The 23,603-nt window shown below is 43.8% G+C and overlaps 1 protein-coding gene across 23 annotated transcripts in view, besides 5 other annotated features; it reads left to right on the top strand.

The window, feature by feature from the left end:
• Positions 8,700–8,819: a silencer, noted in NCBI's record as "silent region_411". NCBI's record gives its function as "represses an Ori minimal core promoter by ATAC-STARR-seq in GM12878 lymphoblastoid cells {active_cell/tissue: GM12878}" and the evidence as "EXISTENCE:reporter gene assay evidence [ECO:0000049][PMID:35858748]".
• Positions 8,700–9,309: a biological region, named in NCBI's record as "H3K27ac hESC enhancer GRCh37_chr1:23670710-23671294".
• Positions 8,725–9,309: an enhancer, noted in NCBI's record as "H3K27ac hESC enhancer chr1:23670710-23671294 (GRCh37/hg19 assembly coordinates)". NCBI's record gives its function as "activates a minimal SCP1, AML or CMV promoter by ChIP-STARR-seq in primed H9 embryonic stem cells {active_cell/tissue: H9 hESC(primed)}" and the evidence as "EXISTENCE:reporter gene assay evidence [ECO:0000049][PMID:30033119]".
• The window catches only part of HNRNPR (heterogeneous nuclear ribonucleoprotein R), a 39,597-nt gene continuing 25,235 nt past the window's right edge, over positions 9,242–23,603 (top strand). For 4 of the 23 annotated variants that reach the window (XM_047424994.1, XM_011540472.4, XM_047424719.1 and 1 more), the window contains exons 1-5: positions 9,242–10,015; positions 12,506–12,674; positions 14,918–15,036; positions 15,665–15,772; positions 19,895–20,008. In XM_047424994.1, coding sequence (XP_047280950.1) covers positions 9,953–10,015; positions 12,506–12,674; positions 14,918–15,036; positions 15,665–15,772; positions 19,895–20,008 — 573 coding nt within the window. In that variant the 5' untranslated portion in view covers positions 9,242–9,952. The remainder of the gene's footprint in view (positions 10,016–12,505; positions 12,675–14,917; positions 15,037–15,664; positions 15,773–19,894; positions 20,009–23,603) is intronic. The other 19 variants (NM_001297621.2, XM_011540477.4, NM_001102397.3 and 16 more) reach the window with 9 other exon arrangements.
• Positions 9,330–9,689: a silencer, noted in NCBI's record as "silent region_410". NCBI's record gives its function as "represses an Ori minimal core promoter by ATAC-STARR-seq in GM12878 lymphoblastoid cells {active_cell/tissue: GM12878}" and the evidence as "EXISTENCE:reporter gene assay evidence [ECO:0000049][PMID:35858748]".
• Positions 9,700–9,769: a silencer, noted in NCBI's record as "silent region_409". NCBI's record gives its function as "represses an Ori minimal core promoter by ATAC-STARR-seq in GM12878 lymphoblastoid cells {active_cell/tissue: GM12878}" and the evidence as "EXISTENCE:reporter gene assay evidence [ECO:0000049][PMID:35858748]".

Here is a 23,603-nt window from a genome sequence, read left to right as displayed (position 1 = left end):
GAATGAGATGACCGTGGCACAATGTGAGAACAGTTGTCAGGGATGAAGTCCTGGGAACACCAACAGATAATGATGGGCAGAGGAGAGGACCTACAAGGACGTATTACAGGGTCCGGAGAAGAACCAGGAGAGGAGAGTCACAAGCCAAGGTCATGGCACATTTTAAGATGTTCAACTGCAGCAGAGATATCTCATGAGATACAGTACTTGAAACTCATTTACAGGGGAAAACTGTTAAGTGCAAGGTGTTGTTATCATTAATGATAATTAGAGAGCACTTGCCCCCTCCTCGAATGGATTTTTTTTTTTTTTTTTTTTTTTTGAGATGGAGTGTTGCTCTGTCGCCCAGGCTGGAGTGCAGTGGCGTGAGGCGTGATCTTGGCTCACTGCAAGCTCTGCCTCCCGGGTTCTCGCCATTCTCCTGCCTCAGCCTCCCGAGTAGCTGGGACTACAGGCGCCCGCCACAACGCCCGGCTAATTTTTTGTATTTTTAGTAGAGACGGGGTTTCACCGTATTAGCCAGGATGGTCTGGATCTCCTGACCTTGTGATCCGCCCGCCTTGGCCTCCCAAAGTGCTGGGATTACAGGCGTGAGCCACCCAGCCTCTAATGGATATTTTAACTTTAGGGTAGTGAGAATTTAGTTATATCCACAATCTATTTATAACCAATTCTTATTGTTTTATTGAATTTTCAAAACATATGCAAGTTATACTGAATGCTATAATTACTCCATGACACTACACTGATATTGGGAACAGGACTCACAATCCCTGCAGAATCTGAATTGTGGAACTGTATATTCAACTTGTATATTTGAATATGAGTAATAATACTTATCTTAGATTTCTACCAGATTTTAGTGAAAACCTCACAGCAACACCTCCACCAAAGATTTGCAGCATGTGGCTCTTCTGTCTGTCTATAGGGAAGCCTGATAATAATGAGAACTCAATGGAGTTATGTACAAGTCTCCTAGAATTCAACTGATGGAATTAGGCTGCAGCTGTTGCTGTTGCCTCTTTCTCCCTTCCCCCCTCCCCCCCTTCTTTTGAAACAGGGACTCACTCTGTCATCCAGGCTGCAGTGGTACAATCAAGGCTTATTGCAGCCTTGAACTCCTGGGCTCAAGTGATCTTCCCACCTCAGCCTCCCAAAGTGCTGGGATTACAGGCATGAGTCACCACGCCCAGCCACCTGCAGACTTTTTAAAGGCTCAGGCCTGTAATCCTAGCACTTTGGGAGGCCAAGGCAGGAGGATCACTTGAGCCCAGGAGGTAAAGGCTGCAGTGAGCCATGATGGTGCCACTGCACTCCAGTCTGGGCAACAGACTAGAGTGAGAACCTGGCTTAAAAGGAAAAGGCTGCAGAGTTTACTGTCAGTGAGTGGGTGCACCAAAGTCCTGGTGAAGAGTTGCCAGGGAATTCCACTGTTGTGGAGTGAGAGAATGTTGTGACTGAGTGTTCAGCACTCTTAAATTGGATTTAACAATCCTAAGAGGACTTATTTTTATTTGCTTATTTATTTTTGAGACAGAGTTTTGCTCTATCACTGGATTACAGGTGGGATTACAGGCAGGCACCACCACTCCCAGCTAATTTTTGCATTTTTAGTAGAGACAGGGTCTCACCATGTTGGCCAGGCTGGTCTCTAACTCCTGGCCTCATGAGATCCATCTTCCTAGGCCTCTTGAAGTGTTGGGATTACAGCAGTGAGCCACTGCGCCTGGCCAAGACATGTTCTTTTCTAACAAATCTACCCAAACGGGTGTTGCTTTCCAAAGTTGAGACCTTGTGAGGCTACAATTTTATTCTTGCACTGTTCATTTCTCAGAACAAGTTTAAATTGTGTTATAAGGCCAATTTGCAAACCACACAAGGTAAATGTGAGAACTCATTATATAATATCACAGTTGGCTTTGGTCCCTAACTAGTGTTTTCTAACTTATTCATCAGATCAAACAGACGATTTTTTTTTTTTTTTTGAGACAGGGCCAATTGCAGTGGTGCAAACGCGACTTGCTGAAGCCTTGACCTCCCCAGGCTAGGTGATCCTCCCACCTCAGCCTCCCAGGTAGCTAGAGCTACAGTTGTGTGCCACCACACCCAGCTAATTTTTTGTAGTTTTTGTAGAGATGGCATTTCACTATGTTGCCCAGGCTGGTCTCAAACTCCTGCACTCAAGCGATCCACCTGCCTCAGCCTCCCAAAGTGCTGGGATTATAGATGTGAGCCACCACTCCTGGCCACCTATATGATTACTTGACTGGTCCCTTCAAGAGAAGAATCTGCCAACACTGAGACAATAATTGAAAAGTTGCTCGGTAAAGTAGCTTTGGAGTTACACAGACGACATGTGTTTGAGTCTTGGTTCAGGAGTGTGGTGTGCCTTTAAGCGAACATTTCAATCTCTGTAAGCCTATTTCCTCAAAAAAATGGGATAATATTACTGAGGTTGCAGGTTCCATATAAGGATCAGCGATAGCATATGTGGAACACTCGACACACAGTAGGAGCTCAAAAATGGTAGCAATAGTGCCACTAAAATGGAAATACACTTTCTTTTCATTTTAAAATGGCTTTGATACATTTGAGAACTAGAAGGGCATTCAATAGACCAGTTCAAGGATAATCTTCAAAAGAAAAAATGCTGTAAAAATGATGATAAAGCTGGGCATGGTGGCTCACGCCTGTAATCCCAGCACTTTGGGAGGCCAAGGAGGGCAGATCACCTGAGGTCAGGAGTTCAAGACCAGCCGGGCCAACATGGTGAAACCCCATCTCTACAAAAATACAAAAATTAGCTGGGCATGATGGTGGGTGCCTGTAATCCCAGCTACTCAGGAGGCTGAGGCAAGAGAATCGCTTGAACCTGGGAGGTGGAGGTTGTAGTGAGCCTAGATTGTGCCACTGCACTCCAGCGTAGGTGACAGAGCAAGACTCCGTCTCAAAAAAAAAAAAAAATTATTAAAAAAATAATGATAAGGCAGGCACTGCAATAAGATCTTGAGGTAAGCTAACTATAAGCCATTTGCAAGTCATCCACATGGCATTTTATTTTTGTAAAAGAAGCATCATCTTAGGAGGTATAAATGAAAGACAAACAGCTTAAGTGCTGATCAATCTTAGTTGGAACTCCACCATTTTGCAAAGTGTTTTAAAATAATAAAAATGATTCTAGTTTTTTTTGTTTCTTCGTTTTTTGTTTGTTTTGTTTTGTTTTAGGTAGAGTCTTGCTCTGTTGCCCAAGCTGGAGTGTAGTGACACAATCTCGGCTCACTGCAATCTCCACCTCCCAGGTTCAAGTGATTCTCGCGCCGCAGCCTCCCGAGTGTCTGGAACTACAGGTGTGAGCCACCATGCCCAGCTAATTTTTTGTAGAGACAAGGTTTTACCATGTTGGCTAAGCTGGTCTCGAACTCCTGACTTCAGGTGATCCACCTGACTCAGCCTCCCAAAGTGCTGGGATTACAGGTGTGAGCCATAATTTTTGTATTTTTTGTAGAAATGGGGTTTCACCATGTTGCCCACGCTGGTCTTAAACTCCTAAACTCAGGACATCTGCCCACCTCGGCCTCCCAAAGTGCTGGGATTACAGGCATAAGCCACCATGCCTGGCCCCTATAATTGTTATAAGAAGCAAAAGTATATTCATTGATATACCAGCTCAGACAACAGGTTTGGTCTGTAACAGGGAAGAGATGCAGAAGGGCCTGGCTGCACTATGTTACCTAATTTCAGAAATTATGGGTATAGCTGGAGCTTCCCTTAGCAACCCATTTTTTTTTTCTTGAGATGGAGCCTCACTCTGTTGCCCAGGCTCGAGTGCAGTGACGCGATCTCAGCTCACTGCAACCTCTACCCCCCTGCTTCAAGCAATTCCCCTGCCTCAGCCTCATGAGTAGCTGGGATTACAGGTGCATGCCACCGCACCCAGTTAATTTTTTTTTTGTATTTTTTGTATTTTTAGTAGAGACAGAGTTTCACCATGTTGGCCAGACTGGTCTCAAACTCCTGACCTCAGGCAATCTACCTGCCTCGGCCTCCCAAAGTGCTGGGATTACAGGTATGAGCCACTGCACCCAGCCCCCATTTTTTTTTAAATGTTTATACTTGTCCTACCTCTCACCTAGGATGGAGGACAGGGATTGTGTTTTATTCATTTTATATTCCCTAGGTTATTTGTTTGTTTGTTTATTTATTTATTTATTTATTTATTTATTTTTAAGACAGGATCTCATTCTGTTGCCCAGGCTGGAGTGCAGTGGTGCATTCACTTGCTCACTGCAACCTCCACCTCCCAGTCTCAAGTGATCCTCCTACCTCAGCCTCCTGGGTAGCTGGTACTACAGGCATGTGCCACCACAGCCGGCTAATTTTTGCAACTTTTGTTGAGACGGGGTTTCAGCATGTTGCCTGGGCTGGTCTTGAACACCTGAACACAAACAATCCTCCCGCCTCAGCCTCCCAAAGTGGTGGGATTACAGGCATGAGCCACCGTGCCTGGCTTTTTTTTTTTTTTTTTTTTGAGATGGAGTCTTGCTCTGTCGCCAGGCTGGAATGCAGTGGCGTGATCTTGGCTCACTGCAACCTCTGCCTCCTGGGTTCAAGCGATTCTACTGCCTCAGCCTCCTAAGTAGCTGGGACTACAGACGTGCGCCACCATGCCCAGCTAATTTTTGTATTTTCAGTAGAGATGGGGTTTCACCATACTGGCTAGAATTGTCTAGATCTCTTGACCACATGATCCACCTGCCTCGGCCTCCCAAAGTGCTGGAATTACAGGCATGAGCCACTGTGCCTGGCTTTCTCTACTCTTAACTCCATGATTTTTCTTTCTTTCTTTTTTTTTTTTGAGTTGGAGTTTCACTCTTGTTGCCCAGGCTGGAGTGCAATGGCGCGATCTCAGCTCACCACAACCTCTGACTCCCGGGTTCAAGTGATTCTCCTGCCTCAGCCTCCTGAGTAGCTGGGATTACAGGCATGCGCCACCATGCCCAGCTAATTTTTGTATTTGTAGTAGAGACCGGGTTTCTCCATGTTGGTCAGGCTGGTCTTGAACTTCCGACCTCAGGTGATCTGCCTGCCTTGGCCTCCCAAAGTGTTGGGACCACAGGCATGAGCCACCATGCTGGCCAACTCCATGATTTTTATATAGAGGCATGCAATACATATTTGTGGAATATTGAATTCATGAATATCTGTATCTATACAATAATTTTCTTTCCAAGTAAAAAAATCAAGACATATGGTCTGAAATGTGGAGTATACCTTTGATGACTACATAGCAGAACATTTGAAATATTATCCCAGAAAATACTGGGTGATAGAATCGTTTTAAATTACATATCTAGGCCAGGTGCGGTGGCTCACACCTGTAATCCCAACACTTTGGGAGGCCGAGGTGGGCGGATCATTTGAGGTCAGGAGTTTGAGACCAGCCTGGACAACATGGTGAAACCCTGCCTCTACTAAAAATACAAAAATTAGCCAGATGTCATGCATGGCAGGCATCTGTAATCCCAGCTACTTGGGAGGCTGAGGCAGGAGAATCGCTTGAATCCGGGAGGTGGAAGTTGCATTGAGCTGAGATTGCACCACTGCACTCCAGTATGGGCCACAGAGTGAGACTGTCTCAAAAAAAAAAAAATTACATATCTGACCCACGGGTTCTCATCAATGGACTTGAAGGAGTCTCTGAATGCAAGTAAGGAGTACTTAAACTTGGATGGGGAAAAAAATTACATCTTTGTTTTCTCTAACATCTAACTGAAATTTAGCATTTTTCCCCATTGTGAATGTAGACAACATATCACAGTAGAATTAGTAACAGCTTTCCCTCTGTCACCAATAGAAATCATTTTCATATCACTTTACTACTCATGGATTTCTTGAAATATCACTCTACAATTTCTGTAGTTATTAGATCTGCTCTAAGATCTTAATAGTTATTGTGTTAATAAAGAAAAAGTTCCTGCCTGGGTAACATGGTGAAACCCCGTCTCTGAAAAAAAGAAAAAAAAAAAAAACACAAAAAAACAAAAACAACAATTAGCCCAGAGCGGTGGCCAGCGCTTGTAGTTCCTACAAGCCACTGGGGAAGCTGAGGTCAGAGGATCGCTTGAGCCCTGGAGGCAGAGGTTGCCGTGAGCCCAGATTGCACCATTGCACTCCAGCCTGGGTGATAAAGTGAGCACATGTTTAAAAAAAAAAAAAAAAATTAAAAAGTAAAAGCTGGGCTGGGTGCGGTGGCTCACGCCTGTAATCCCAGCACTTTGGGAGGCTGAGGCGGACGAATCACGAGGTCAGGAGATCGAGACCATCCTGGCTAACACGGTTAAACCCCGTCTCTACTAAAAATACAAAAAATTAGCTGGGCGTGGTGGCTGGCGCCTGTAGTCCCAGCTACTCGGGAGGCTGAGGCAGAAGAATGGCGTGAACCCGGGAGGCGGAGCTTGCAGTGAGCCGAGATTGCGCCACTGCACTCCAGCCTGGGCGACACAGCGAGACTCTGTCTCAAAAAAAAATAAAAAAATAAGCTGGGCGCGGTGGCTCATGCCTGTAATCCCAGCACTTTGGGAGGCCGAGGCGGGCGGATCATGAGGTCAGGAGATCAAGACCATCCTGGCTAACACGGTGAAAACCCCGTCTCAACTAAAAAAAAAAAAAAAAAAAAATTAGCTGGGCATGATGGCAGGCTATATAGTCCCAGCTACTCGAGAGGCTGAGGCGGGAGAATGGCATGAACCCGGGAGGCGGAGCTTGCAGTGAGCCGAGTTCGCGCCACTGCACTCCAGCCTGGGCGACAGAGCGAGACTCCATCTCAAAAAAAAAAAAATAAAAATAAAATAAATAAAAAATAAAAAAGTAAAACCTTACTATATCACGAATGTGTTTTAAAATATATTTCCTAATTGTATTTCAATATAAATGGTTTCTTTCGTATTGCTCTGTATTTTGTTTCATGCATTTAAAAACTGAGAAGAGATTCATAGCTTTTACCAGACTTCCAAATGGCACAAAATAGGTTAAGAATTATGGCGCTAGAGGCAGATTTATGTGAAGCTAGTAAAATTTAAGCTTCAGGCTGGGCGCCTGTAATCTCAGCACTTTGGGAGGCCGAAGCAGAAGGATCATTTGAGGCCAGGAATTCAAGACCGGCCAAGACCGGCCTGGGCAACATAGCGAGATTCCCTCCGCACCTCCCGTGTCTCTATTAAAAAAAAAAAGTTAAGCTTCGGGGTCCTCCCTCACTTTTACAATGCCCTTCCAAGACTCTGTTCCTAAATTTGTATTCGTCATTTAATATGATTTTTCTTAAAGACTCCCAACATTTCTTTCTTTCCTTCTTCCTTTCTTTTCCTTTTCTTTCCTTTTCTTCTCTCTCTCTGTCTTTCTCTCTTTCTTTCTAGAAGGAGTTTCACTCTTGTCGCCCAGGTTGGAGTGCAATGGCGCAATCCCGGCTACTGCAACCTCCGCCTCCCGGGTTCAAGCGATACTCCTGCCTCAGCCTCTCAAGTAGCTGGAATTACATGCACGCGCCACCACGCTCGGCTAATTTGTGTATTTTTAGTAGAGACGGGGTTTCACTATGTTGGCCAGGCTGGTCTCGAACTCCTGTGCTCAAGTGATCGTCCACTTCGGCCTCCCTAAGTGCTGGAATTACAGGCGTGAGCCACCGCGCCCGGCCTAAGACTCCCAGCATTTCTGTAAATCTCACACCCCATAACACAAAACTTGGATCTACCCAGAGATTTAACTTGGTACTGGGCACATAGTAGTCGTTTTCAATATTTCTTTTTCTTTTTTTTTTTTTTTAAGACGGAGTTTCGCTGTTGTTCCCTAGGGTGGAGTGCAGTGGTGCGATATTGGCTCACTGCAACCTCCGCCTCCCGGGTTCAAGCGATTTTTCTGCCTCAGCCTCCGGAGTAGGTGGGTTTACAGGCACGTGCCACCACACCGGGCTAATTTTTGTATTTTTAGTAGAGGCAGGGTTTCACCATGTTGATCAGGCTGGTCTCGAACTTCTGACCGATACACCCGCCTCGGCCTCCCAAAGTGCTGGGATTACAGGCATGAGCTACCACGCCCCGCCCGTTTTCAATAATTAAATATAGGTTTGTAGGTTCTGAGAAATTTAATCATCCTTGAGTGCATCTGGAAATCTGCAGACCACTGCTTGACTTCCTCCACTTCCTAAGGGTGGGGCATTGGAGTTTGGGGTTGGGAAAAAAGCGCTTGCACCACAGAAGTGAGTTCGGAAGGTTTCTATGAGACGAGACAGGTTTGGACTAAGGACAGGGAACAAATCAGTAGGAATGGCAGGTGAGAAATAGGTTTAGGACTAACACGAATTATAGTGTCCTTTGGGAATTACCCCTTTCCCCTGCATGGCTCTTTTGGCTTCAGAGATGTATATAGCTGCTTTATTTTATGAATATCAAGTAGCTCCAAACCCTGTGGGGAAAAGCTCCCTGCTCTATCACTTGTGTTACACATTGCTTTTGAGTCATTTTAACGATTTCCCTCACAGTCTGCCACCAACGATGTGTGGACGGCAGCCAGGGAGGGAAAGAGGCATTTCTCCGATCGTTCCAAGGAATGATTATCTAGACAAAATCCTCAGCAAAATGACGAGCCAAATCATCCTTAAATCGTGTGCTCACTAGAGGCGAAAAGATGACCGAAAGAGGCCCGAACGCGTGGCTATGGGCGTGTCTGGGGGGAACGCCGGCCGCGGGGGTGCGAGGGAGGACTCGGGGGCTAAGGGCGGCCGGTGGCGGGACGCAAGCGCCATGGCGGAGCTGGGCCAGTGCTGACCATAGGGGGCGGGGCTCCGGAGGCGGCCACGCGGCGCGAGGCCTAGATTTTCGGCCTCGCATCGGCGGCAGACGAAGAGGGAGGAGCTTCGTCCACCCAGGACCCAGCGCCCCCAAGCCTTGCAGCCACCAAGGGCTTCCACCACAGACCCCTTTGTGTGCCTGCCCCCGCCCCGGAGGCGCCCCAGCCAGGGGCGCTGAGCACCCTCATTGGTTCAGCCGGCAGCTTCATCGATTGGCTCTCGAGTCGTCCGGCGTGGTCCGTTTTGCCTGGATACTACTGGTCGTCTGAGCTGCCTGTCAGGCCGCCTCGCCAAGCGATTGCCCCGTAGCTCGGAGTCCCTGGAAGCAGTTCCGGGAAACCCCGCGTGCTGCCGGGATCGCGTCTCAGTCCATCAGGGGGGGGAGGGGGTGGCGCGCGCGCCATTTCTAGTCGTTTTCAAAGCGCCTCGCGCTGATTCTCACGGGCCCGGCTGCCGGCCCCCGCTCTGCCCTGGTGAGTCTCGCGCCGGCCCGTGGGGGGAGGGGCCGGGAGCCCCGATGCGACCCGACTCAGCCCGGGCTCCGTGCCTGGTCCCGTTTCGTTTGCGCTCCGAGGCCCCGGGGTGGGGGTGGGGACGGGCTGGGGGCGGCTTCGGTCTAGTCCGCCCGCGCGGCTGTGGGCCTAGCCCGGCCGAAACGCTTCTCGCCCTCGCTCTTCCTCCCCCCGCCCCTTTAGCCCGCGGTCCGGCCCGCTGGGCGCTCTCCGCGCGGCCTGCTGGGGCCGGCCGTGCTTTTCCCGCCTCCGCTCGCTGCTCCATGCGGCCGGATCCCGCGAAGGGCCTGAGGCGCCCGCGGCCCTGCCGCTTCTCCCCGCCGGAGCCGCTTCGCTCCCGCCGCGGCCGGCCTAGCCCGAGAGGGATGTGCTGATGATCCGGACGGGCCTGAGGGGATGGGGGTGGGGGGCGGAAGGCGGGGTGCAGATCCCAGGGTTATCTGAGCCGGGAGAAAAGTTTTGTGTGAGCAGAAACCGAAAGGCCGATTTGTGTGGGAAGCCTCCCTCCCCTCCCACATTCTGCATGCCGCGGGCTGAGATTTGAAGGAAAAAATGACTACTAGAGGCCGTAGAACTTAGGCTCCAAGCGGCGCCTGAAATGGATAATTCTGAGACTGTCAGAGGCGCACCAAATTGGAAAGGCGATCCTTTTTCTTACACGGTAGTGGCCGTATTGCCAAATTTTTAAAAAAGCCCAGGGCTTCTTGGAAGGTTCAGTCCTTTCACACTACCTGTTTGAGATTTTTGCAGTCCTCAAGTGGCTGAATTGATGTCTCATGAGTCAGTCGTAGGATGAGAGCTCGACACTCCTAAGCCATGAGATAACCGTTAGTCTCATTTCGTTGGTTCTTTTAAAGCCCGTCTCTTAATATGAAGAATTTGCACAGAGAGGTTCAGAAAAAGTCAGGGAGGAGTTAGTGCTGACATCCCGAATCTCCCAGCAGCCCTTTTAAATCTTTAAATGTCTCCTTTTTTTTTGCAAAAATGTTTAGATCAAATGACTCCAGTCACGTTAGTATATTTGCTGCATCCAGAAATATGGTTTGGCTGTGTGGCATTGTGTTGAATGCCACATTTGAATGAGTTTCAAATGGTCTCATATGACATAAAAAGTCTTTTCAAAATGAGCATTTTGTATTTGGCTTGAAGAGAGAGGGCTTTCCTTGATCCGAAGGTTTTATTTTCTGGAATCTAATTATTTTACGGTTTTTTTGTTAAAATTTACAAACTTTTTTTGAAAATTTTAACCAATTTCAGTATCAACTTGTAGAGCCTTTGCAATGAAATGGTAGGCATAAATATTTCTGTCTTGTACTTAATACACAACTTGTCTTTTTGCTTTACACATACTTAAAAACCCCACCTTAACAGATGTTCATTGAACTTTTCTGTTAAAAATTTGCCTCTTTTCTGTGACTGATAGTATTCCTAGGTACAATGCTGTAAGGGTCTTGTGATACTGAGAACTTTTGAGTTCTGATGATCTTAAGGTAGTATGTGGGGATGGGGGAGCATGGGAAAACAGAACCTTATGTTCGCAAGGAGATTTTGTGTTTTAGGATGCATCTTTATAGAAATAGGTCGTGTTAATCAGTAAACGTATTCATCTCACACAATACAGTTTCTTGATCAAAAGTGTGACATTTCGAATGTTTCCGTTTTTGCTAGTTCATCAGAATTTGAAGCTTGTCTTGAGAAACATCCACCCAGAATTTAACCACAGTCTGCGTCTATTAAGGGCTATCGAGTCTTAATAGTGTTTTGTAATTGTGAGGAGTCATGTTTATCTCATTTTCAGAGTAATCCTTTGCATTTTCTTCTTCTTCCTACTCTCTATTACCTCCTTCCCCTCTTGGTCTTCCTCCCTCTTTCGTTAACTTCAACTAAGTATCAGTGGACTTTGAAATGAAAAGAAGTTGTTTTAAGCCAGAAAACTGCACCTGGTGCATTTGCACAATGTTCGATAAGCTGTCGGGAAGTGTGGTTATCTTATGTGTCTTAGTACTTTGTAGGAGACTTGTATTTTCTTTATAGATGACTAGGTATCTTGAGTTTCATCAAGAAAAGTAGGCTTTTTCTTGAGATCCACCTTTATGTCTTTTATTTAGTATGTGTTGCAATGTCTTGTTCTGCTGCCTATTATCTTCATCACATTGTAATTTCACCACAGACAAATGCACTTTAATTCCCTGTCTTTTGAGGCAGTACACAGACTGGCCTTGTATGGTTTATTGTTTACTCTCTCTCTTCAGGGAGTCAGTCCATTTCAGCATTACCTACAGGCTGAATGTACAAAATTATTTTTGATAGGTTAATCTGAGAAATCTGGCTGAAGTTTAGCCTAATTAGGTAACGGTTTTTGAAATATTTGGAAGAAGTTGTCCATTCTTCAGTATGTTTTTACATCTTTATTTTACTGATATGAAAATTTCAACATGTACTCTTTTTTTTTAAGAAGCAACCTAAACTATAGCTCACTTAGTATTTTATTTGGACTGAAAACAATTGTTTCGCTTTTAAACTTGGTCATTTTTTCTTTTAAATCTGTGGGAATAGCGAATTAATCTTAGAACAAAAATTAATGTCAAGTTGGTTTTTTTTTGTTTTCGTTTTGTATTGTTAGGTGGAGAAAACCCAAACCACCAGCATGTTGAACTAGAGAAAACAGGGCACTTATTTCACACCGATACTGTATTTGAAGCAGAGCCAGGAAAATTTGAAAGTCCTTAAATCTTGATTAAGTGGTCTGTGGGTGTTCATTCTGTTTTTAAAACAAAACTTTTTAAAACTGTGTAAGACCCGAGAGCTGAGGGGCTTTTTAGTAAAGGATTTTGTAGTGATTTTGATCTTTTCACCAGGACAGAACAGCTGCTTTTGTTAATCAGCAATTCTACCTTCAGTAAATTAAAGCCTTTATCTTACCCGGTGTACATGAAGTTCCTTAAAGATCTAATGCTTCCATGTACATTTTCTATGGTTTTACAGGATTATTATTGCCAATTTAGGTCAGATACATCACAGGAGGAATAAATTATTATTTTGATAGAGGTTATTAGCAGCATGTATACAAATTAGTTTAGATAAATCATGCATTGTCCTACAAACTAGTTATTTCTGGCTTAATGTAATATAGCTCCTGAATTTTTTCCAGCAGCATAATAAAATGGCTAATCAGGTGAATGGTAATGCGGTACAGTTAAAAGAAGAGGAAGAACCAATGGATACTTCCAGTGTAACTCACACAGAACACTACAAGACACTGATAGAGGCAGGCCTCCCACAGAAGGTGGCAGAAAGACTTGATGAAATATTTCAGACAGGTATAATATGCATTTCTTGTTTCTGACTGGTTATGAAAGTGAGGGCAAACCACTTTGAATTTTATAGTTTTTTAAGGTTAAATAATACTTATTGTTTCTGATCTGTAGAGCTGAATGTTTGTTACTTTCCCTTCATTGAAGGCATATTGGGTTTGACTTTGATACTCTTATTTCATTATTTTGAAGCCTTCTTAGTGTTGAATATGCAGTCTTAGTTGTTTCAGAACAGCACATCGATTTGTCTTAGATTTACCACCCATAAAAATGTATGTTTCTGCATACCAAATTTTACATTTTTTTCTTAATCAAAATCAGTCATCATTTTGCTTTTGCTTTTCTACTTTTACCTTCTTAAAGTGATTGTTAAATCAGCTTAGGTCTGATTAGGTGGCATAACAAGAGGATAGCTGTATCGTCTGAAACCATAATAAATGTCAGACTCCTTGAGAGTTTGTGGCTTGTCTAGTTTCTAATAGAAATCCACATCTCTCCGTAATTTGGAAGTGTTTGGTTGTAACAGCTGCTTCTTTTTTTTTTTTTTAATCCAGAAGTGCCATGGTTAAGTGCTTAAGCAAATTTGAACATCTTAATATAGTTGGTTGTAAGTGGTTTGAAGTTTTAAAGAGGGAGAGAAATATTTACCCTTAGGGAGCGTTGTTCATAAATGAATGTGTCCTCCTCCTTTGGGGACATAGATGGAAACTTTCTTCCTCTGTGTTGTGTGTGCCTATTCAGATTCTGAGAGAGAATTGAATTGTCTCACTCACAAATGTGTCTTAAGTACAGTAGTAGCAAATAGCTGTTTTTTTTTTTTTGTCCTTAAAAAATTTTTAAATCTGGGAAGCTTAGCATAATTTTAGACATTAAAATGACTTATAAAAATGACTCCTGGGTCATGGTCGCATTTGAAAATCAGTCCTCAGGAACTTTCTGTGACATTCTGCCATAGAGAATTGGCAGTGATCTGCTTAGAGATGCTCTCTTGTAGAGTGTTTTGTTATTGATAAGAGGCTGATGGTTTGGGCGTAGACTTGGTTTGACAAAATGGATTGATGGGTGTCCTGAGTTGTGGCTTCGGGTGGTGGTATGGAATATTCAAGTGAGGCAGCTCCAGTTATTTACACATGCTCATTTCGAGCTTTTGAAACAAATCATGGCAACTTTTTTAAAAAGTAACTTTGGAAGTGGCATTACATTTATTTAAAATTTACTATATGGAATAAAGTTCTTTTTAGCTTTATCAAAATGGAGTCACTTTTCATGTTCATATGAACTTGGGGGTTTTAATCTACGAAATACTTGCATTTTACGTTGGATCAATTCTGAAATATATTCCATATGTAAATATGACACAAACTTAACAGACTTAAGAAATTATATTTTAAACTTAGTAGATGTTCTGTGTGCAGTTGAATATACTTACATATATGAAATGCAGTGTATATATTTTCTGTCAAGTTTACTTGTAAGACCATAAAGTCTTTATTGCCATTTGAAAATGATTGTCGTTCTTGACAGTCAATGTGAATGCCACAGCATCTTTTAAATCTCAGCTTGTCACTTCAGAAGAACAAAGAATGCCTTAAAGTATGACTTTCAGAATTGATTAATCAAGCTGCACTTGCATTTGTAGAAGTTTAAAATTATGCCTTTCCACATTCTGACTGCAGCAAAGTGGATGCTCAGATAAACAAATGCATTTCAGTTTATCTTTGGTGTTCAGGAGGGAAAGCCTTTTGACACTTTTTGGAGAGTGGAAAGAATTACTTAGTAAAATTTGTTTTCAGATTTTCCTCCACCTCTTAGGTGGTTAGCATCAACTGTAACCGTCTGTAATTTGAAGGTTTATCCTTGGAAAACGCAATGTATTCTTATCACTCTAATATAAACCAAAATTTGTTGTATTAATGCATAATCTGTAATACAGTATGTACATCAGATTTAACTTTCAAGACTTATACCTTTGGGGGAGTGGGAAATGGATGTTAGGATTTGGCGGGGGAGGTTTGTGGATATGGAGATTGAAATTCATGTTTTTGGTTGTTGACATTTTATCTTTATTTTCATATTTGTCCTGGACCTTTCTATGTAGTATTTGGATAGCTGCGTATATGCATATAGTTAAATGAAAATACAGTTTGTTAGTGATCATATTGAATGTAACAATTCTTGATTAAACGTCAGTAGAGCTTAGATTACCCCTTTTGTTGCAATAACGTTACCCCTTTCAATTTAATTTTTAGGATTGGTAGCTTATGTCGATCTTGATGAAAGAGCAATTGATGCTCTCAGGGAATTTAATGAAGAAGGAGCTCTGTCTGTACTACAGCAGTTCAAGGAAAGTGACTTATCACATGTTCAGGTAAGGTCGTTACTCAGAAATGTCTTTGAACAATTAGTAATCTGAAATTATTTTACTATTACTTTTTTTCCTATGGAGAAGTGGTATTTTTTGTTTGTGACTACCTCTTCTTTTAAAAAATTAGTTTAAAGGAAAAAAACTGCTTGTGGCAGAGTTTCAGAAGCCCAAGTATAAAGCAAAAGTTTTCTCCCACCCCCTTGTGCAGTAAGTTATTTTAAAAACTTAAAATTAAAGCCAAGTTTTGATGGTTGTTACTATAGGTTTTTACATGTTACTCAGCTTTTTAACATTTGGGGGTTATTTGATCCTGTTTTATTATCTTGGAGGAAAATGTAGGTGGGAGGAATAGTTTCCGACATCTGGCAAAGACAGTCTAGATACAGTCACATATCAACAAGTGGAAGACTGTGTTTTCCCAGGGTAGAAGGTAAGCTCCCTGAGGTCTATACTGCCTTACTGCTGTCTGCTCCAATCTCTGGCACATAGTAACCACTCGGCAAATACTTGTTGAATGAATCAGTAAATCTTTTGTTAAAATCCTGGTTTTCTGAAATTTAAATTTAATTATGTATCTGACCCTTCAGATATTTTTGGTGATTCTTTTTATTGAATTACTTGTCTGTTCTAGAACAAAAGTGCATTTTTATGTGGAGTTATGAAGACCTACAGGCAGAGAGAGAAACAGGGGAGCAAGGTGCAAGAGTCCACAAAGGGACCTGATGAAGCGAAGATCAAGGTAAAACTTGACTTGGGTAGTTGTAATGAAATTGCATTTAATGATGAGGTCAAATGCCTCTTTCCATGTTTCCTAGAAAGTTTCACTTTTTTTTTTTTTGAGACGGAGTCTTGCTCTGTCGCCCAGGCTGGAGTAGCGGCGCAGTCTTGGATCACTGCAAGCTCCACCTCCCAAGTTCATGCCATTCTCCTGCCTCAGCCTCCCAAGTAGCTGGGATTACAGCCATGCACCACCACACCCAGCTAATTATTTGTATTTTTAGGAAAGATAGGGTTTCACTGTGTTGGCCAGATTGGTCTCGATCTCCTGACCTTGTGATCCGCCCACCTCGGCCTTCAAAGTGCTGGGATTACAGACGTGAGCCACCACGCCCAGCTGAAAGTTTCACTTTTCAAAACTAGTGTTTAGAAATGAAATAATTTAGAGGAATTACATAAGAAGGATAATTTTGGGGATCGACACTCAATTGCATGTTTAATGAAAAGCCCTAATTCATACTCTTCCTCATTCCCTCTTTTGTGGCCATGAATGACGTATATTTATTGATGCTTCGCTGGTAGTTTCTTGGATTGATCCAGTAATGTCTCTTGGTTCAGTTATTTTCCAGCCACTTTGTTTCTTTTCTCTTGATAAAAAGGTTATAACTTGATAAAAAGTTGTTATAACTGCTTTCCTCCTTTTGAATATTCAGTTACCTCAGTTTCTTTATTTATAAAATGGGGATAGTAATAGTGACTACCTTACAGAGTTATTGTAAGGAGTAAATGAATTAACATATATAAAGCACTTAGAATAATGCCTGGAATGTAGCAAGAACTATATAACCATGAACCATTATTATTATTACCATTTTATTACTTAGATAAACAGCTTTGAAAAGGTAAATATACAGCTTTTAATGAAAGACCAGTGAACCTAATTCCTTAGTTAAATGGATACTCGTGTCTTGCTGTAGTGACATACTTTTCTTTTTTTTTTTTTTTTTTGAGACAGAGTCTCACTCTGTGGCCCAGGCTGGAGTGCTGGAGTGCAGTAGCGCCATCTCAGCTCATCTCAGCTCACTTCAACCTCTGTCTCCTGGGTTCAAGCGATTCTCCTGCCTCAGCCTCCTGAGTAGCTGGGACTACAGGCGTGCGCCACCACATCCAGCTAATTTTTTTTTTTTTTTTTTTTTTTTTTTTTGAGACGGAGTCTCCCTCTGTCGCCCAGGCTGGAGTGCAGTGGCGCGATCTCAGCTCATTGCAAGGTCTGCCTCCTGGGTTCACGCCATTCTCCTGCCTCAGCCTCCTGAGCAGCTGGGACCACAGGTGCCTGCTACCATGCCCGGCTAATTTTTTTTTTCTTGTATTTTTAGTAGAGACAGGGTTTCACTATGTTAGCCAGGATGGTCTCAATCTCCTGACCTCATGATCCGCCCGCCTCGGCCTCCCAAAGTGCTGGGATTACAGGCGTGAGCCACCGTGCCTGGCTGCTAATTTTTTTTGTTTTTTGGTAGAGTCGGGGTTTCACTGTGTTAGCCAGGCTGGTCTCAAACTCCTGACCTTGGGGGATCTGCCTACCTCACCCTCCCCAAAGTGCTGGGATTACAGGTGTGAGCCACCATATCCGGCCTGTGATAGACTTTTTTTTTTTTTTTTGAGACGGAGTCTCGCTCTGTCGCCCAGGCTGGAGTGCAGTGGCGGGATCTCGGCTCACTGCAAGCTCCGCCTCCCGGGTTCACGCCATTCTCCTCCCTCAGCCTCCCGAGTAGCTGGGACTACAGGCGCCCGCCACTACGCCCGGCTAATTTTTTGTATTTTTAGTAGAGACGGGGTTTCACCATTTTAGCCGGGATGGTCTCGATCTCCTGACCTCGTGATCCGCCCGCCTCAGCCTCCCAAAGTGCTGGGATTACAGGCGTGAGCCACCGCGCCCGGCTGTGATAGACTTTTTAATTAGAAATAGTTATTGTATGTTGAAGTTATTTCTATTATTATTACATTGTAATATGTAATGAAATAATTATACAACTCACCATAATGTAGAATCAGTGGGATCCCTGAGCTTGTTTTCCTGCAACTAGATGGTGCCATCTGGGCATACTGGTAGATGGTGACAGATCTTCAAGCATTAGATTCTCATAAGGAGCATGCAACCTAGATCCCTTGTATGCACACTTCACAATAGGATTCACCCTCCTGTGAGAACCTAATGCGGCTGCTGATCTGACAGGAGGTGGAGCTCACAGCTCAGGCAGTAATGCCAATGATAGGGAGGATGAGGAGCGGCTGTAAATACAGATGAAGCTTTGTTCTCACTTGCCCGCTATTTACCTCCTGCTATGCAGCCCGGTTCCTAACAGGCCATGGACCAGTACGGGTCTGTGGCCCAGGGGTGTGGGGACCCCTGTTTTATATTACATTTATGGCTCTGTTTCAGTCAAAGGTAGAAGAATGGAAGGCCGAAGGCATGCATCCCTGTGAAATCCTAGTGTTCACTGAACTTGATGATATCTAAAGTCTCTTATTGTTCTGACATTGTGTAATTTTAAAAACCTGGCTGGGCTCTGTGGCTCACGCCTGTAATCCCAGCACTTTGGGAGGCTGAGGCGGGTGGATCACGAGGTCAGGAGATCGAGACCATCCTGGCTAACAACGGTGAGGCCACCTGTCTACTAAAAATACAAAAAATTAGCCGGGTGTGGTGGCAGGCGCCTGTAGTCCCAGCTACTTGGGAGGCTGAGGCAGGAGAATGGCGTGAACCCGGGAGGCGGAGCTTGCAGTGAGCCAAGATCGCGCCACTGCACTCCAGCCTGAGCGACAGAGCGAGACTCCGTCTCAAAAAAAAAAAACCAAAAAAACTGAAGTGTAAATTTCTCTTTTCTAGGTAGATTGTGTTTCTTTGTTTACCATTGTATCTTTTCTTCTCTAAGCTCTTTATATAGATGTTGCCTCAATTATAACATAAATTCCTGAGAGCAAGGAGATTATCTTCTTTTCTATGATTGCTCTTAATACCTAATAGAATGTAAGGAAGGTTGGTAATCAGGAAACACAAGATTTTACTTATTTTTCGGAACCTGACTATACTTATTTGGTAATTGCCAAATATTTTTAGTCTGTACTGTATGATTCTTGTCTGATTACCTGATTCTTGTGGAGCTTATGATATGGCAGGAGTACAAACCAGAAGGATCAAACAAAATCAAGCTTAAATGATGGAACTTTAAGTACACTAGAGGCTGGGTATGGTGGCTCATTCCTGTAATCCCAGCACTTTGGGAGGCCAAGTCGGGTGGATCACGAGATCAGGAGATTGAGACCATCCTGGCTAACACGGTGAAACCCTGTCTTTACTAAAAATACAAAAAATTAGCCGGGCGTTGTGGCGGGTGCCTGTAGTCCCAGCTGCTCGGGAGGCTGAGGCAGGAAAAGGGCGTGAACCTGGGAGGCGGAGCTTGCAGTGAGCCGAGATCGCGCTACTGCACTCCAGCCTGGGTGACACAGCGAGACTCCGTCTCAAAAAAAAAAAAAAAAAAAAGTACACTAGAAAGACAGTGGGGGCTGGGCACAGTGGCTCACACCTGTACTCCTAGCACTTTGGGAGGCCAAGACAGGCGGATCTCATGAGGCCAGGAGTTCCTGACCAGCCTGGCCAACATGGTGAAACCCCATCTCTACTAAAAATACAAAAATTAGCTGGGCGTGGTGGCACATGCCTGTAATCCCAGCTACTTGGGAGGCTGAGACAAGAGAATCTCTTAGACCCGGGAGGCAGAGGTTGCAGTGAGCCGAGACGATGCCACTGCACTCCAGCCTGGGCAACAGAGCAAGACTCCATCTCAAAAAAAAAGAAGAAAAGACAGTAGGGAGAAATGGATGTGAGTAATAGTAAATGAGAGAAGCTGCATGAAGGAGGTAAGACTTGTGCTAATTTTTTTAAGGATAGAGAACATTTTATTTGAAAAGACTCACCAGTAGAAACATGTATGGGGAACCAGTGCGAATTTTGACTTTTTTTTTTACCTAACCATAAAAATATATCTCCTAGGAAGTTGGAGTCCTTTTTGGAAAAGATTAATACACTGATGCTTGTGTGTGAGATTTAGTACTCAAGTATAAAGAGATGTATAATTATCTCTAGGCCTTGCTTGAGAGAACTGGTTATACTCTGGATGTAACCACAGGACAGAGGAAGTATGGTGGTCCTCCACCAGACAGTGTGTACTCTGGCGTGCAACCTGGAATTGGAACGGAGGTAAGTGTTCTTTAGCAGTTTACCAAGATCTTTCCAGTTTGGAAAGTGTTTTATCTACTATGCAGATACTGTACAGACGGGGGAAAATTCTTGATCCCTTTCAAAGTGTAGCTGTTGTTAGTTTTTAGATATCCATTTGTATTTTGCTGCCATCATGAGGATGGATAATCTTGTGACTGGTAGATACCCGAACACTTTATATAGGAATATAATATAGAGTTTTTGGAACAGGTTGCTAAAACCATGCTACTAGCAGCACACCATTTTAGATACTTGGAGTAAAGTTATTTGGAAGACGCAATTGCTTTATTCTGTCTTTTTTTTTCCCCTCCCCTGAGATGGAGTTTCGCTCTTGTTGTCCAGGCTGGAGTGCAGTGACACGGTCTCAGCAAACTGCAACCTCGGCCTCCTGGGTTCAAGTGATTCTCCTGCCTCAGCCTCCTGAGTAGCTGGGATTACAGGTGCGTGCCACCACACCTGGCTAATTTTGTATTTTAGTGGAGACGGGGTTTCACCATGTTGGTCAGGCTGGTCTCGAACTCCTGACCTCAAGTTATCCACCCACCTTGGTCTCCCAAAGTGCTGGGATTACAGGCGTTAGCCTCCACACCCGGCTGCTTTTTTTGGTTTTTGCTTTTTGGGGATTGTTTTTGTTTCTGTAGAGACCAGGTCTCACTGTGTTGCCCAGGCTGGTCTTGAACTGCTGGCCTTGGCTTCCCAAAGTGCTGGGATTACAGGCATGAGCCACAGTGCCCAACCAAGTTTTTTTGTTTTTGTTTTGTTTTTTTTTTGGTTTGGTTTTGTTTTTTTTTTTTTGAGATGGAATTTTTGCTCTTGTTGCCTAGGCTGGAGTGCAATGGTGCAATCTCGGCTCACTGCAACCTCCACCTCCTAAGTTCAAGCGATTCTCCTGCCTCAGCCTCCCAAGTAACTGGGATTACTGGCATGCACCACCACACCTGGCTAATTTTTTGTATTTACTAAAGAGGATTTCACCATGTTGGTCAGGCTGGTCTTGAACTCATGACCTCAGGTGATCCACCTGCCTTGACTTCCCAAAGTGCTGGGATTACAGGCGTGAGCCACCGCGCCTGGCCAAGTTTTTTTTTTTTTAATATCAATAATTTAGAACTGTGCTTGTCCTCTCCCTTGCCTCACCTATCACTCAGAAGGGACTTAGTATTTATGGAGAGATATTATTGATGGGCGTGGATTGCACAAGGGAAGGATGTGGAATCAGATAAAAGATTGAGTATGTTAGTCCATACTTGAACAAAGAAGCAATTCTTTCCCCATCTGTCTTCTTAAAGCTTTTTCCATTTGCCTTATTGCTAGCCTGTTCTATTCCTTCCTTCTCTTCTCCTCCCCTCTCCCCTCTCCCCTCTCTCCATTCAGTCTCGCTCTGTCGCCCAGGCTGGAGTGCAGTGGTGGGATCTCAGCCCACTGCAACCTCTGCCTCGCAGGTTCAAGCGATTCTCCTGCCTTAACCTCCCGAGTAGCTGGGACTACAGATGCCTGCCACCACGCCTGGCTAATTTTTCTATTTGTAGTGGAGACGGGGTTGCGCCAAGTTGGCCAGGCGGGTCATGAACTCCTGCTCATCCTTCAAATGGAGAAAACTGTGTGCTGAAAAGTAACCTGTTACACCAGGGACCTTTTTTTTTTTTTTTTTTTTTTTTTTTTAAAGAAACAGTCTCACTGTCACCCAGACTGGAGTTTAGTGGTGTGATCATAGCACACTGCAGCCTCAGACTCCTCCTGGCTCAAGCAGCCCTCCTGCCTCAGCCTCCCCAGTAGCTGGGACTATGGACTCATGCCACCAAACCCAGCTATTTTGTGTTTTGCTCTTGTTGCCCAGGCTGGAGTGTAATGGTGCAATTTCGTCTCACTGCAACCTCTGCCTCCCGGGTTCAAGCGATTCTCCTACCTCAGCCTCAGTAGCTGGGATTACAGGCATCCGCCGCCACACCTGGCTAATTTTGTAGTTTTGGTATTTTTAGTAGAGGAGGGGTTTCTCCATGTTGGTCAGGCTGGTCTCGAACTCCTGACATCAGGTGATCTGCCTGCCTCGGCCTCCCAAAGTGAAGCCCAGCTATTTTTTTTTTTTTTTTTAATTTTTTGTGGAGATGGAGTCTCCCTGTGTTGCCCAACTGGTCTCCAACTCATGGGCTGAAGTGATCTTCCCACTTTGGTCTCCCAAAATGCTGGGATTACAGGCGTGAGTCACCATGTCTGGCCTAATAAACTCGGAGATAACCAATTCGAAACAAATAGTTGATATGTTAATTGTAAAACACATACGCATTCTCTTAGATTGCATTGTTCCTTTAGGAGAAAGATGCATTCTTCTGTATGTTAAATGTTGTTGTATACAGCAAATATGATTCCAGCAAAATCCCTATATGTGATCACTAGCCTAAAACCACTCCTGTCAAGCAATCACTTTCAGCAAAGTCCTAATGGAAAGTTTCAGATTTCTCTCATAAAGTTAAAGTTCATGAGATTGTGCAAGTACTTGTTGACAAAGTTTTGAAAACTCAGGAAAAGTAGGTTTTTAATGTGTTGCTAGTAGATATAATAAATTGGTTTTAATTGTGATTTTTGATGTTGTGAGGTTTGGATTTTGTTCTTTTATATGTTCTTTCAGTCATCATTAAACATTTTTAGGTCTTGATTGAGGAGGTTGAAGTTAGAGTCAGTGCCTGAGACTGTGCAGTATTAAAATTATGAGAGGACTATGATATCTCATTTTTGGGTAAAATCTGTAAATTAACCCATTAGATGAGCACTCATTAACAGACATTGTTGCTAAGTATTGTTCTGAGATGAGAAATATGCAAGGATGATAGGTAGTAATTTTGAAATATATTTTTTAGTGTGTCTGAGCTCTCAGACCTACTCTAGTTGTAGTATTTTTGTATTCTTCAGCTAGTATTGTTAAGCTGCTTTGGGAAGCAAGTTCTGTTTTTGTTTTTGTTTTTTTGAGATGGAGTCTCACTCTGTCGCCCAGGCTGGAGTGTAATGGCACGATCTCGGCTCACTGCAACCTCCGCCTCCCAGGTTCAAGCGATCCTCCTGCCTGAGCCTCCCAAGTAGCTGGGACTGCAAGCATGCACCACCATGCTCAGCTAATTTTTGTATTTTTAGGAGAGACGGGGTTTCACCATGTTGGCCAGGCTGGTCTCAAACTCTTGACCTCATGATCCACCCGCCTCGGCCTCCCAAAGTGCTGGGATTACAGGAGTGAGCAACCTCGCCTGGCCAAGTTCTGTTTGTACTCGTTTCCATTAATGTAAGCAGTATTCTTGGAGGTCATGACTGTGTATAATAAATTCTTATCTGTTTGCAGAGCCTACCACTGATGTTTTGCAGAGTAATGAAAAGAAATGGTAGATTGAGATCTCATTCTTTGGTTTATTCATGGTGGTGTCACAGAACCCCAGTGTATTTAACAGAGCCCTAAAGTATATGACTTTGTGGCACCTGAATTGTATTATGTATGAGAAACTGATATATTTGCAAGATAGCAAATGTAAATAGGAGCTAGATAATATAAGAATCCTAATAGATACCCAAAAGACTCTGTTGGCTGGGT

The sequence above is a fragment of the Homo sapiens genome, chromosome 1 (genome assembly GCF_000001405.40).
Source record: "Homo sapiens chromosome 1, GRCh38.p14 Primary Assembly".
NCBI classification, from domain to species: Eukaryota; Metazoa; Chordata; class Mammalia; order Primates; family Hominidae; genus Homo; species Homo sapiens.
This window is presented reverse-complemented; position numbering and strand designations above follow the sequence as displayed.